The following is a 14,895-nucleotide window of genomic DNA, read 5'->3' on the forward strand; positions in this document are numbered from 1 at the left end:
TGGGTGCCAAAAAAGAAAAAAGAAAAATTGAATAAGACCTACTATTTGATAGCACAATAGGGTGACTATAGCCAACAATAACTTAATTGTACATTTTAAAATAACTTAAAGAGTGTCATTGGATTGTTTGTCACTCAAAAGATAAATGCTTGAGGGGATGGATACCCCACTCTCCATGGCGTGTGTATTTCCTATTGCATGCCTGTATCAAACATCTCATGTACCCCACAAATATGCACACCAACCACGTACCCAGAAAAATTAAAAATATAAATAAGGCCAGGCATGGTGGCTCACGCCTGTAATCCCAACACTTTGGGAGGCAGAGGCAGGCGGATCATTTGAGGTCAGGAGTTCAAGATCAGCCTGGACAACATAGCGAAACCTCATCTCTACTAAAAACACAAAAAATTAGCTGGGTGTGGTGGCATGCACCTGTAGTTTCAGCTACTCGGGAGGATGAGGCACGAGAATCGCTGGAACCTAGGAGGCAGAGGCTGCAGTGAGCTGAGATCATGCCACTGCCCTCCAGCCTGGGAGACAGAGTGAGAAAAAATAAAAAATAAAAATAAACTTAAAAATAAAAGAAAATAAACCCTCCAAGAATTCTGAGCTCCGCCTACTACGCCATGTCCTCCCTGGAAGGAAGAGGCAAGATTTTCCCTTTCCAAGCCCTGAAACAGCTGCACTGACCACTCCCATTCCAGGGACCAGGGTCTGAGACATCTGGGTGGCTGTCTGCCAGGCAGACCCCGTAAAATGGGACAGCCCACCCTGCTCCTGCCACGTCAGGCCACTGGGATGGGAAGCTCTAAACAGCCCCCGCCCCCCCAGGCTGCAGCTCGAGGAGGAGCGAAGCCTCTTTCCTTGCACTAATTTGCAGTGCAGTGTGCTGTCTGCCTCGTGGGCACATGGAACGTATATAAATTACCCCGCCAGGACGATTAACTGTTTGTCCAGGCTAATTGTCAGTATTAAATCTCGCTCAGTCACAGTTTTAAAGCTTAATTTAAATTCTCTATCTTTAAGAAATCCATACTCCCTCCCACCACGGGAGAAAAAATAGATTTAATGGGTTTAGTCCATTTCCGTTTGTAGCAACCCAAGTTATAATTAGGCATGTGCAAAGCGGATGTTTCGGCGGGCGGTGAGCCTGCAGACCTGCTCCTCTCCTTCCCGGCAGGGCCGGTCCTGGTGGGGAGTGCCCTTGTCTTTGCTGCCCTAGATAAATTTCTGAATTAGGAGTTATTGCTCAGAGACCCCTGAGCCTCCATGGCAGCCCCTCCCGATTATGGCATTAATCTTGTCAATGTGCTTAAAGGTGGAGAAAGAATTCATCCTCAAAGGTGGAAGGCACAAGAAAGCAGCCAGGAAACCCCTCTGCCCAGGAGCCAAGAGCTCGGGGGAGCCATGGGATGCAGGCGGATGGGGGGGCTTCCCCTCATGTCTTCCTGAGACCACTGCCCCGCCAGATGCCCCCTTGCCCTGAAGGCTGATGCTGCCACTGCAGCTTATCAGGAGTGAGGACCCCTCCTTCCTCTCCTCTTTCTTTCTGTTCCCAGATACCCGCTTAGAAGCAGGTTGGAGCCAGGAAAATGCAGACAACTAAGGCATAGATGTAGAGGATGCAAACTGAACAAAGCTACTGAAAGCCCCCACACTCATCCCCCTTAATGTCCTAGGGGGAACTGAGACTCAGAGAGAGGCGTGACTTGCCCAAGGGCACACAGCTGGCCTGGGTTGCAGCTGAATCCCAGGGGACTTGGCACCCATTGCCTTGCTACACATTCATGACCAGGGTGAGGTGCAATTCCTTGTTCAAGGGACACGCTTGGAAGAGGAATCTTCATCGCCCTTCCTAATTCTATGCATCATCAACACCAGGGCACGTATGTTTACGCTCATTGTCCCTCACTGGGCTTGCCCCATGCAGAGGGTGGCCTGGGGGAGCAGAGATGGCAGGGAGGGCAGCTGGAAGTCCAGGTCAGAGAGAGGAGAGTGTGACCAGGGTGGCAGCAGGAGGCATGGAAAAGACGGATGCATGGAGAGGGGTGAAGAGCGTGGGAACCAGGGCTGGGGCTGCCCAGACCTGGGCACTGGGGAGGGCAAGGGAAGCGTCAGTGACAACTCCAGGGTCTGAACCTGCGGGGTGAGGAAGCAGGTGGTAGCAGTGACTGCCCGGGAGTCTGAGGAGGGGGCTGGTTAAGTGGGGAAGGTGAGCGTGATGCCAGGTGTGCTGGCTGCAGGGGACAGAAGGTGTGCAGGGCTCTCCCCGGGGCCCCTAGGCTCCTGAAAGGCGGTGCCCTAAGCATCGGCTCCATCTCGTTGTCCCTACCCCCGTCCCTACCCCCGTCACAGTGGCCGGCAAGGGCCCAACACTTAGCAATTGTCAAAGAATCGGCAGACGTGTCCAGTGGGAGCTGAGGCAGGGACAGGGACATCAGGCCCACGTGTTGAAGGCGTGGGCCTCCCACACCACTGCCCTCAGTGTTGTGTAACTCAAAAACCCATGTGTAACTTTTGACTCTCCTAAAACTTAACTACGAATAGCCTGCTGTTGACCAGAAGCCTTACTGAGAACAGTCAATGAACACATATTTTGTATGTCATTATGTGTATTTTATTTTGTAAGTTATATGTTACTGCATTCTTATGATAAAGTAAGCTGGAGAAAAGAAAATGTTATAAAGAAGATGATAAGGGACAGAAAACATATTTACTCATTAGGTGGAAGCGGATCATCATAAAGGTCTTCACCCTTCTTGTCTTTACATTGAGGAGGCTGAAGAGGAGGATGAGGAGGGGTAGGTCTTGCTGTCTCGCAGGTGGCAGAGATGGAAGGAAATCTGTGCATAAGTGGACCATGCAGTTCAAACCCATGTTGTTCAAGGGTCACCTGGAGTTGAGGAAGGTGCCGTCTTTCTCCCAAGGCCCAGGGTTTTCTTTGCAGAGAGCCTCGTGATTTAGCCCTCTGGAGAGGAGGGAAGCGAGGCCAAGCTTAGCAGTGTGTCATGGATGTGTTGTTTGGGCCCCAGGGCATGAGTCACCTGCCCTAGTTTTTTTTTTTTTTTTTTTTTTTTTTTTTTTTTTGTAAAGGTCCTGCTGTTGGGTGGATTCATATTTTCGGTATCAGCCTGGGAGATCCTGAGTGCAGGATGTGGTTCTGCCCCTCTGGTCCCTGTTCTGTTGTGTGCATTTGTGTACACGTGCACCCACCTCCCCTTCTTCAAGGTGCTTGCCCTTCCGCCACCCGATGCCCAACAGGGACCCAACTTAAGACACACACAATTATTTCTGCAGGTCCCTTGAGCTCAAAGTCACCCGAATGTGAGCTGGAGTGAATGCAACCAAGCAGTCCCAGCAACACAGACTGCCCTGCTGGATGCCAGCATGACTGGGAATTTCACTCCCCCACTGACGGGGGAGCCTGGGGGTGTTCATGTGTGTTTTCCTCGGTGGTGTGAAGAAAGTCATTTGGTCCTGTAACGGCTGCCCTGTCACGGTGGGAAGTTAGAAAACAAACTTGGCAATCACACCCACCTTGACTTCCCAACCCTGCGAGAGAGCTTCACAGCAGGACCAGGAGAACAGTTCTTGGGACCTTTCTCTTTCCACCTGTTTCATCTCACACTGCTGCCCCTGCTTCTGTGACCTGCAGCAGTCTGCAGGGTTTGAACCCTTGATCTGCCAGAAGCCCACCCCAGGGCTGGGACCAACTTGCTCTGCTGCCAGTCCCACCCCCCCTGGCACAGGGACACATGGATGGGGACGTAGATGGGTGCTGACTGGTCATGAATGACCTCCAGAACAGGAACAGAGGAGGGTTTTTCAGTGGGGCGGCCCCAAGGTGCCAGCGCGGGGAAAAGTGGCTGCCCGGCCATTAGGTAGATGTATTATTTGTCCTCAAAGGTCTGCGCAGGATCCTGGGCCAACTGGGGCAGCTCTCAGGCTGGGCTTTGCCAGATCGGAGAGCAAGGCCCCCAGGCTGCTCCCACATGGAATGCACGCTAAGGCATCCTCCCTCCTCCGCTCTGTAGCCTTTCACAGAAAAACAAAAAATCAAACCTGTTCTCGTCTCTATCAAAGCTCACGTTGAAGATGACAGTGTTTCTCATTTCCTCGACTCTCTCTGAAAATATGTGAAATTAGGGGAAATGAAGAGAAGAAATTGAAATAACAAGTGAGGCTGGAGAAGAACCAGCCTCAGAAACAGAGGTGCCTGGAGAAGGAGGAGGGTGGGTTGTGGGAGGAGGAGGAGAGGAAACTCAGGGCTGGCGATTTCGGATGAGGCAGGTGCTGGCTCTCAGGAGGGAGAGAAGCCTGCGGTGGAGACAGCATCCTCGTCTGCCCCCTGGGAAGCGAGGGAAGGACCTTGGCCGAGGGGGACCTAGGAGCATGAAGAGCAGGAGAAAGCAGGGGGGTGCCTGATATGGTTTGGCTCTGTGTTCCCACTCAAATCTCATCTTGAATTGTAATCCCCTCATGTCAGGGGAGGGACCTGGAGGGAGGTGACTAGATCATGGGGGTGGATTTCCTTCATGCTGTTCTCGTGAAAGTGAGGGAGTTCTCACGAGATCTGACGGTTTAAAGTATGACACTTCCCGCCTCACTCTCAATCTCTCCTGCTGCCATATAAGACATGCTTTGCTCCCCCTTTGCCTCCATCATGACTGTAAGTTTCCTGAGGTCTCCCCATTCATGCAGAACTGTGAGTCCATTAAACCTGTTTTCTTTATAAATTACCCTATCTCAGGTAGTTCTTTCTAGCAGTGTGAGAACGGGCTCATACAGTGCCACCATCCTATCCAGCATCCCCTTTCTTCCCTGGCTCTTGTAGCTGCCCTGTGGGTGCTCCCCACTCACCTTCTTCCCAGAGGAGCCCTCTAGGGAGGGGTGCAGTCTGCAGAGCCTCGACACCCCACCCAGCTCCCAGCCCACGCAGAAGCTTGGGAACACCAGAGATGGCCACTCTTGCCCCAGGAGGATCCCCCACCCCTCAGGCAGTCTCTGCTCTGGGCTCCCACCTGCCGACTGGGGCTTTCTGTGAGGCTCTTCCTCCCAGGCCTCCTTCCCTCCCCACTCCCTGCACAGGCTGGTCCTGCATCATGGAAGGAAACTCTTCCTGCTCTCTTTCCTTTCTCCTTCACAGACATTTCCCTGCAACAAGTCTCATGGACATCCAATTCATTCCTGGCACCTGCTTCTCAGAGGACCCAAACCCACAACCCCTTGTGGCTCAGAGCAAGTGGCTCCTATGGGCCTCCCCGCCCTGACTCCCTTCCACTCCCAGCAAAGGGCCTTGCTCTCATCAAGCAGCCCAGCTTGCAGCCCACCTGAGAGCAGCTTAGCCCCTATCAGGCTCCCAGGGGCCCTGCCAGGGTGGGATAAGGCAGGTGGGGCAGGAGGGCTTTTAAGGCAGGGACAGATGTGACCCCTGCCTCCTACTCTGGCTTCAACAGGTCAAAGGTGCACACATGGGGAGGAAAAGCCCTTTTCTGCACCTGAGGGCACCTCCCGGGTCCTGGGCTGCCAGCTCCATCTTCTGCGCACCAGGAGTGAGGAGCATCAACCACACCGGGCCCCAGGAGGTGGCTGCCTGGCCACCATCACCCTCCCACTGAGGGGCCCAGGGGAGAGAAGACTGTAACTGCTCTGGAAGCTTCCGGCCTTTCTTCGGCAACGAATCTGGGGTGTGGCTGGACCTGGACCCTTTCATGCCTGGGATCTTAACATTCACCATCTGGGTGGATTCTCCTTCCTGGTCTCTCTGTGGATGGATCTTGTCAGTCTCCTGGAGGAAGGGAAGATGATGCTCCACTTTCCCCGGGATGCTGGGACACAGATCCACAAACCGGGCCACTTAAAGTGACAGACATTTTTCCTCTCCCAGTTCTGGAAGCAGAGGGGAGAAATCAAGGTGTCGGCAGGGCTGGTTCCCACTGAGGCTCTGAGGGAGAACCTATCCCAGGCCCCTCTCCCGGATCTGGGGCTCCCGGGGATCCTTGGCGTCCTTCGCATGGCTCCAATCTGCTGCTGCTTCACCTGGATTTGCCCGTGTGTCTCTGGGTCTTCATTCCTGTTTCTTGCCAGGACGCTCTCATTGGATTTAGGGCCCACCCTAACCCAGGATGACCTCATCTCCATCCTTACCTTAATCACACCTGCAAAGACCCTATTTCCAACAAGGCTGCATTCTCAGGTTCTGGGAGGACATGAATTCACAGGTTCACGATTCAGCCCAGTACAGGATGACCTGGAGTAGAGCCAGGATCCCGGAAGTCCCCGGGGGCTGATGGGGCCCAGCAGGGAAGCAGGGATGGGCAGGGTCTCCAGGGCACAGAGGAGGGGTGTTGTGCACCTGCCCCCTTCCTGGGCTCCCCTAGTGCAGCTCTTTCTGGGGCCTTCTACCCTCTCCATTTACCCACTCGCCCCTGCAGATGGGGGGCGCATGATGGCACCTTTTGATTTAACCAAGTTATTATGAGTAAGTGATTCGGGAGCTCTTCTTCAGGCAGGTGATCGGGGATGAGCAGGCAGCTGAGAACAAAAGAGATGCCGCCACCGTGGGAGACGCCTGGGTTGGCGGAGCGGTGGGGGGAAGGGCGAGGAGGGGAGGATTGCGGGGGTTCTTCTGCCACAGTCAGGCAGGGGGAGGCGCCGCCTTGCCCTTCCCTTCCCTTCCCTTCCCTTCCCTTCCCTTCCCTTCCCTTCCCTTCCCTTCCCTTCACCGGGAAGCAGCGGCCGCGATTTAATATGCAAAGGTGGAAAGTCTGGCATTGGGTGCATCGCCCCGCATGCCGTATTTCAAACAAAGAATACACAACAAAGGGCCGGCCGGCGCGGGGATTTGTCAGAATTCGGCGGTGGGAGAGATTTATCTAAGCTGAGTGGAGGGGCCTGTGACCTTGGGTTTGAGAGCTTTAAAAGGAACAGGCGGCTGTTGAAGACGAACAAAGAGATGCTTGTGATTATCATTATTTAATATAATGGCCTTAAACTGTTAGGAGGGGGAATTAAGTGGCACAAGAGAATTGTTTTTTATTCCAGGAGATGTAAGAAAGATGTAATGGACAGGAAAAAGCAGGGGGGAGGCGGAGGGAGGGAGAGGCTGGAGAGATTTCTGAGATGAAGTAGGAGAGTGAGCGAGCCTGCAGAGGCAGCAGGCGGTAAACAAGAAACGCTCCCCTCCCCTCTCCCTTCTCCTCCTCCTTCCCCTCTTCTCCCCTCCCCTCCAGTCCCCTCCCTTCCTGGCAGGTTCAACCTCAGCCCCAAAGACAAGACAGTAGCTGGGAAGGAGGTGACCAGCCTTGCGCCAGGAAGGGGTTGGGCAGAAAGAGTCCAAGAAAGGAGGACGGGGCCTGGAGCAGTGTCAAAGCCGGGATCAGGATGCGGCAGGGCTAGCAGCTTCCCCAGGCTGGGGGGCCAGGGCTGCCAGGAGACCTGGGCATCCTGTTCAGAGAAAGCCTGGCACGGGGGACGGGTGGGTGTGTGCTGCCCCGGGGCAGTGAGGGTCTGGGAAATGGAGGCTGGTAAGGTCCTTTCACTGGCGTCCCCAAGAAGGTGGACTGTGAGCCCTCCTGCCAGGGTTGGATGCTGAAAGTGCCAATGCTCTGAGCTGCTGCAGACGGGGGGACAGTGGGGGCGGGAGGAGATGGCTGGCCTGGCAGCTTTGCTGCAGGGTTGACCTAGGATGTCTCCCACCTGGGTTGAGGCTTGTCCAGGTGCCTACCGCTTCCCAGAGCCTGAGCAGAGATACAGCTGAAGCCCAGGAGCCTCCTCTCTTTCATGGGGCCTGGCTTTCTCTTTTCATTTGTAATTTTGTAATCTTTTTCTTAAAGAGCCCCCTCCCAAATCTGCTGAGCGTCACCTCCCACTAAAGCAAGACCAACTAGGTCTTCACAACCCGTCATGGGGAGCAACTGCAGTTCTCCCCGGAATGTGTGGAAGCCTAGTTCCCAGGCAGCTGGGGGAGGAGGGCACCCAGTAGAGCTTCAGAGCCAGGCAGGAGTGGGAGGTGGGGTGGGCAGCAGGAGCCGGCTTTGTCCTGGCAGCAGGGATGCCAGGTGGACACCCAGGTGGCCCAGGAGGGCCCCACACTTCCTGCCCTGGGGTGGTCAGCCATCGGGGTGTGTTCCCGCAGAAAGGGGAGCGGCTCCAGCCACAGGTGGACTCACGTCTGAGATCTGATAAACTAGAAGAGGAAGGTAAAACAGGAGTCAAACTGGAGAGGATGAGGCCACGCAGGAAGGAGAGGGTGTGAGCTCCCGGAGCCCGGTGCCCAGAAACCTTGCTCTCTGGCTGATCTCAGGAGGCAGCAGAGACTCAGAGGCCCACAGTTAGGGGGCAGGAGGAGGCCGTGTGGACCCAGCCCAAGCAGCTGGGTGCCAGCTGTGGGGCATTCACTGGCTGAAAGCTCCAGGAGACCCAGACACAGGCAGCATGGGTGCATGGGGTGACGCAGATCACCCTGCGTGAGGGACACCCCATGCTTTTGGTGGGTGACAGCCTCAGCCACAGTTAGGACACCTGGGCCATCTCTGCCACCCACTTGAGGCTTGGCCCTGGGCCTCAGTCTCGCCTTCTGTAAATTGAGGGCAAGGAGAGGACCCACCGTGGGCTGACTGAGGGTGGGATGAGGTGTGTGTGTGAGAGAGAGGGCTCTGGGGGATACAGAGGGGTCTTCTCACTCCATCCTGTCACTGCCTCCATCACCCACAAGAGCAGCCCCCTCTGTCAACCTGGAAGGAAGCCTGGCTGGGGGAGTCAGGGGGAGGGGTCTTTAACCACAGGGGATGCCTGCCTTTGCTTTTTCCTACATCACTAATAACCTCTCCAAGGCTCAGGTTCAAAGCCATCAAGCACTGGCTGGGAAATGGCTGGGTTGTTGAGGACCTGGTCAACTGTCAAGATTTTTTCAGTTGGCAAAACTGATGGTTCAGCCAGAAATAAGCACTCGCATCTCTCTGATCCCGTCTCTCTGTCCCTCTCCTCCTCTGTGTGCCCAGGGCATGCTCCTAAGGCTGCTAGTGAGGTTGTGACCTCAGTAGTATTTGGTATTTTGGCTGCTCTCTTGGTAATGGCCTGGTCCCTGGCACAGCCATTCCCTCCAAATGCGAACTGCTCCCTGGACCATGAAGCAGCCATGAGATCTCCTGCTTGTGGAACATGGAACATTGAGCATGTCTGCAACTCTCTCCTCCTACTGGAAAATCCTTCTTCCCATCTAACCTAGATCCTTTGTGCTGTGGCTTAAACTTTGCTTTTAATATTCATTCACTTCTCTATTTAATGGACTCTGATAGAAGGAGTTTATCAAACTCTTAATTCTGTCTCTGAAGCCTTTGTTCTCTCTCTGCTGCAGGGGAACCTCAGCCCATCAGGGCTGGTGCCCAGGCACCCTAGGTGAAGCCCTCAGCTCGGCCGCCACCCTGGCCTTGGCAGGATCCAGGCTCTGAGGTCCTCTTCTGGAGGCTGGGTCCTCTCTCATTTCACTCCACGTCATTATTAAGAGATGATGCAGGTCTTGGAGCAAGAACCCTTTGGCTCTGGAAAAATTATGTGTGACACTTTACATATGGATCAGGTAATTAATGGACGCCCGGATTTCCTCCGCCATAACATAAAGAGCGTGAAGACGGCGCTTTAATTCCAGATAATTAAAGAGCGATCAGTTCGCGAGTGCTGCTCGGGGAGTGCTGGCTGCTGTCATTAACACCACCGAGCCCGCTCCATTCTCCACACCTCACTGCAAACCGCGGGGCCTCCTGCTCCCCGGGGGATACTGAGCCACAGAGCCCACTGCACTGCTGTGTAATTGAAGTGGCCACATCTGCTGCACCGAGCTTATGGAATGGGAGTAGGTGTGTGCACACATGCATGTGCATGTGTTGGGTGAGGAGCCGCAGCATGGCCAGTCTAGAGTGGCCACACACGACCTTAGTGACCTGGCCCTAGGGAATGTGCAGAGCTCAGGTGGCTGTCACTGCCACCAGGGAAAACACGGGTCTCACTGTACAGAGCATCCTTAATGAGGGCATAGCATCCCCACTTCAGCCCCAAGAAACTGTTCCTCATCCTACCAGGTCACAGGAAACTCCCAGGACATGCAAGGGGCTGTGCCTTCCCCAGAGCTGAGTGTCCCTGGGTTTGAAAAGTGACAATAATTGGCCGGGCACAGTGGCTCACGCCTGTAATCCCAGCACTTTGGGAGGCCGAGGCGGGCAAATCACTTGAGGTCAGGAGTTCAAGACCAGACTGACCAACATGGTGAAACCCCGACTCTACTAAAAATACAAAAATTAGCTGGGTGTAGTGGCATGTACCTGTAATCCCAGCTACTCAGGAGGCTGAGGCATGATAATTGCTTGAACCTGGGAAGCGGAGGCTGCAGTGAGCTGATATGGCACCACTGCACTCCAGCCTGGGCGACAGAGCAAGACTTTGTCTCAAAAAAAAAAAAAAAAAAAGGAAAGCAACCATAATTAGTACTCTTCAAGATGAAGATAATCACATTCCAGAGGATCATCTTCTCCTGCTGAAGTCCAAGGTCACGGGCAGCTGCTCCTCCTGGGAGAAGAGCAGGGGTGGACGGACATCCCACTGCAAAGGCAGAGCCCAGAGTCCTCAGTGGCCTCCCTGGGAGAGTGAAGTAGCGGCTAATTACGGCCGAGGGCACTGACAGGTCTTCCTGGTTCACACAGCACATCTGTCACATTTCCTGATAAATATCAGCCCCTTGCACTGTCAGACAGAGCCTCTGAGGGTGTCCACGCTTCTTTGCCTGGCTCTGCTCACTCCTGGTTAGTGGCTTCCAGAAAATCACTTGTGCTGATTCCCACAAATATTTACAGAGTGTCTGTGAGGGGCCGGGCAGGCACTGGGCTGGTCTCAGGACCTGGAGGTGAATGAGAAGAGGCTGCTGTACAGAAGAAGCATGTGGGCACCCAGGAGAAGGGATGGAAAGAAACCCAGGCTGCACAACAGCGGGGGTGCAGGCATGACCCGGAGCTGGGGACGGCTGGGGCTGGGGAGGCAGGGAGGCCGGGCCTGTCAGAGGACTTATCCTTGCCTACCAGGCAGGGGAGGTCAGGAACAAGAGGGAGCTCGTGCAGGGGCGTGCACAGCAGGCATGGTTTTGCATGCACCTGGATCTGTGGGTACACAGGCCAGCATATGCCATGGTGGCTTTGCTGATTGATACCTTCTGTCTTCCTCATCCATCTGTCCTCTGCCTCACGTGGCTGTGGTCATCCTCCCTTCAGGCACTTAGCCACTTCTGCTGGGAAAAGATCTGTAAGAAGTCTCCAGGGATGGCTGGCTGGCTGGCAATCGTTGCCTTCTTTTCTCTATGGTTTTAGGACAGAGTGAAGTTTTTTCCTAAAACTCCCCTTTCTCTAAGCCTGGGTCCGGGGTCAGGGGGGTGGCCACTTAAGTTGCATTTTTATTTCAACCTAGACCTCTTTCTCTCAAACCCTAGACTCTGACATCCAATTACCTGCTCAACATGTCCACATGGATGGAATCTCAAATATAAAGTCAAAACTAAATGCCTCTTCTTCATCTCCTAATCTGTTCCCTTCTTGGCTAATAGCACCTCCACCCTTGCAGTGCCAAGACAAAGAGCTTGGGGTCATCTTTCACTCCTCGCCTTCCTGATTGGCCAGGAAATCCTTGTGGCTGGACCTTCAAATTAAATTCAGAAGCCAACATTAGTGGAGAAACTGGGGAAATTCTAATAAAAGTTTAGCGAATGGGATTGCGCCAGTGATAATTCCTCAGTTTTGCTAAGTGTGTGGTGGCTGTGTGAGATAACAGGGAAAGCCAGGGGAACACAGTGAAGGCAACATTCTGGAATATCTTTGCAACTCTTCTATTAATCTAAAATTATTTCCAAATAAAAAGTTCGATAGATACATAAATACGAGCATTCGTTTGTTAGGGCTGCTGTAACAAAGCATCACAAACTGGGTGGCTGAAAGCAACAGAAATGTATTCTCACCCAGGGCTGGAGGCCACGTCGGAAATCAAGGTGTCTGCAGGGCAGGTTCCTCTTGAGGGCTGTGAGGGAGGAGCTGCTCCAGGTCTCCCTCCTTGGCATGTGGATGGCATCTTCTCTCTGTGTCTCTTTCAAATAACACTGTAACACTTCACAGGTAGTGTGAGCACCTTAACATAACAAAACCATCCTCATTCCTCCCTTTCATACCTCGTATCATTGTGTAACAGTGAAACAGCAAGAAACTAACGTCACTCACTTCATTTTTCTTTAAGGGGCTTTTACCCCTTCCTGCACGTAGGCTAGGATAATTTTAGAGAACTGGGATGAAATGCGAAACAGCAATCATGTAGTTTTTGAAACTAACTCTGGGAGTAAAGGGTGTATTAGTCCGTTCTCACATTAGTATAAAGAACTGCCCGAGACTGGGTAATTTACAAAGGAAAGAAGTTTAAATGACTCACAGTTCTGCATGGCTGGGGAGGCCTCAGGAGACTTACAATCACTGCAGAAGGGGAAGCAAACACGTCCTTCCTCACATGATGGCAGGAAGGAGAAGGGCTGAGCAAAAGCGGGAACAGCCCCTTATAAAACCTTCAGATCTCATGAGAACTCACTCACTGTCACAAGAACAGCATGTGGAAACCACCCCCATGATTCAGTTACCTCCCACCAAGCCCCTCCCACCACACGTGGGGATTATGGGAACTAGTATTCAAGATGAGATTTGGGTGGGGACACAGCCAAACCATATCAAAGGGGAAGTTTGTAAACAACTAAGTCTGTTTTGTTGGAGATTTACAGAAGCATTGTGACCTAACCAAGGACAGAAAAGTTCCCAACCTCCTCGACCCCTCACTGGCACCCAAATGTTTGTGGTCCTCGGTCACCTCTTGATCCCAACCACTGCACGTAGCCTCCCCATATCCCCTCACCCATAAAAACCCTCTGGCCAGCCTGAAAAACTGAAAATGGTACTTTAGAATGCTAGTTTGCCATCCTCTTGGTTTGACTGACTTTCCAAATAAACCTGCTTTTCTTCCTACCAACCCTTGTCTCTAGTGGCTGGCTTTCAGGCAGCAAACAGTCAAACCTGGATTCCATTACAATTGCTGCAATTCAGTTCACTTATAGATCAGCATACATAAGCACAATATATATATAAGACACTACATAAGCTTATGTAACTGAATACATCATTGCTATTATTATGTTGAACCAACTGCTGTCTGTCAGGTCAATCAAGAATAAGAAAAATAAAAGTTTTTATTTTACCTTCACTTTTCCTTTCTTTAATGCACTTCCTTTCTTTATGCAGATCTGAGTTTCTTACCTATATTGTTTTCTCTAAAGAAATTTTCTTTTTAACATTTTTTGCCAGCCAAGTCTACTGGCAACAAATTCCCTCAATTCTGAGAATGTTTTTTTTTCTCTTTCACTTTTTCATCTTATCTATTTTTTTTTTTACTGGGGTAAAATATATGTAACATAAAATTTAACATCTTAGTTATTTTTAATTGTACAGTTCAGTAGCATTAAATATATTCATAATGTTGTATAACCATCACCACCATCCATCTCTATACCACTTTCATCTTATGAAACTGGAACTCTATCCTCATTAAACACTGACTTCCCATTCCCCTCTCCCAGGCCCTGGTGACCACTATTCTACTTTGTTTCTATGAGTCTGACTGCTATAGGTACCTCATATCAGTGGACTCTTACAATAGTCGTCCTTTTGTGCCTGGCTTATTTCACTCAGCATCATGTCCTCAAGGTTCATCTGTGTTTTAGCATGTGTCAGGCTTTCCTTTTTTAAGGCTGAATCATAATCGACTGTAATGTATACACCATATTTTGCTTATCCGTTCATCTGTTGATGGACACTTTGGTTGTTTCCACCTCTTAACTATTGTGAATAATGCTTCTAGAAACATGGGTGTACAAATACCTCTTCAAAACCCTGCTTTCAGTTCTTTAGAGTGTATACCTAGAAGTGGAATTGCTGGATCATATGGTAGTTCTGATGTAGGAGAGGCACACCCCAAAATTGGGGCTTAGCCCAGGAGGGTCCTTGGCTTCATCCAGGAAATAATTCAAGGGGAAGCCAGCAGTGTTAGACAGCAATCTTTTATTGAAACAGAGCTGCTCCTTGCAGAACAGGGCTAACTCATAGGCAGTGCACCTAGAGTCAGCAACGTATGGGCTGTTGGCAACTCTATTTATACTCATGTAAACCCACTTTCAATTACATGCAAATTAAGGGGTGGGTTAATGCTAAGGGTTCTAATGGATAAAGTAGTCAGCATGCAAGAATAGGTGGGCAATGTAACCAGAGACAGAAACCCTGAGAAAAACCAAAAAGGAAATGCAGGCAAACAACAGCACTAACAAAAATGAAGACTGACTTTGTTGGGCTTATCAGTTAGCTTGGATAGGGCTGAACAAAGAATCTCTGAACTGGAGGCTATATCAATAGAAACCTCCAGAACTAAAAAAGAAAGAGAACAAAGACTCAGGAAAACACAATAGAATATCCAAGAACTGTGGAACAACTATAAAAGGTATAACATACGCACAATGGGAGTACTGCTATGGGAGTCCCAGGAAACTAATACAATCTGCTGAGAGGCCGAACAATGCTGTATACTATAGTATTGGTCACCATTTGTTGACTGTGTGTGTACTTTAACCTACCAAGGAAGAGGGTATTGCTGTGCTCATTTCACAGATGAGGATGCTGAGACCCATGGTGGTTATGCATCCTTGCCAAGCCCCTGTTCCAGGAAGAGAAATTCCAGATCTAACTGACCTGAGCCTGTGTGCAGCTGCTGTGCTCTGCTACCCACATCTGTAGGCTCTGATGAGCCATGAGATGTTCACTCTAGCTTTGCTGA

The 14,895-nt window shown here is 51.5% G+C and overlaps 4 annotated features.

Moving 5' to 3' along the window:
• Window positions 911-1,790: an enhancer, noted in NCBI's record as "H3K4me1 hESC enhancer chr17:75686650-75687529 (GRCh37/hg19 assembly coordinates)". NCBI's record gives its function as "activates a minimal SCP1, AML or CMV promoter by ChIP-STARR-seq in naive and primed H9 embryonic stem cells {active_cell/tissue: H9 hESC(naive and primed)}" and the evidence as "EXISTENCE:reporter gene assay evidence [ECO:0000049][PMID:30033119]".
• Window positions 1,791-2,669: an enhancer, noted in NCBI's record as "H3K4me1 hESC enhancer chr17:75687530-75688408 (GRCh37/hg19 assembly coordinates)". NCBI's record gives its function as "activates a minimal SCP1, AML or CMV promoter by ChIP-STARR-seq in naive H9 embryonic stem cells {active_cell/tissue: H9 hESC(naive)}" and the evidence as "EXISTENCE:reporter gene assay evidence [ECO:0000049][PMID:30033119]".
• Window positions 5,752-6,721: an enhancer, noted in NCBI's record as "H3K4me1 hESC enhancer chr17:75691491-75692460 (GRCh37/hg19 assembly coordinates)". NCBI's record gives its function as "activates a minimal SCP1, AML or CMV promoter by ChIP-STARR-seq in primed H9 embryonic stem cells {active_cell/tissue: H9 hESC(primed)}" and the evidence as "EXISTENCE:reporter gene assay evidence [ECO:0000049][PMID:30033119]".
• Window positions 9,996-10,165: an enhancer, noted in NCBI's record as "experimental_47447 CRE fragment used in MPRA reporter constructs". NCBI's record gives its function as "activates a minimal promoter by MPRAs in K562 erythroleukemia cells, with activity observed for both the introgressed and non-introgressed 17:75695820 variant alleles {active_cell/tissue: K562}" and the evidence as "EXISTENCE:reporter gene assay evidence [ECO:0000049][PMID:34662402]".

This window comes from Homo sapiens, chromosome 17, assembly GCF_000001405.40.
Source record: "Homo sapiens chromosome 17, GRCh38.p14 Primary Assembly".
In the NCBI taxonomy this organism is placed as follows: domain Eukaryota; kingdom Metazoa; phylum Chordata; class Mammalia; order Primates; family Hominidae; genus Homo; species Homo sapiens.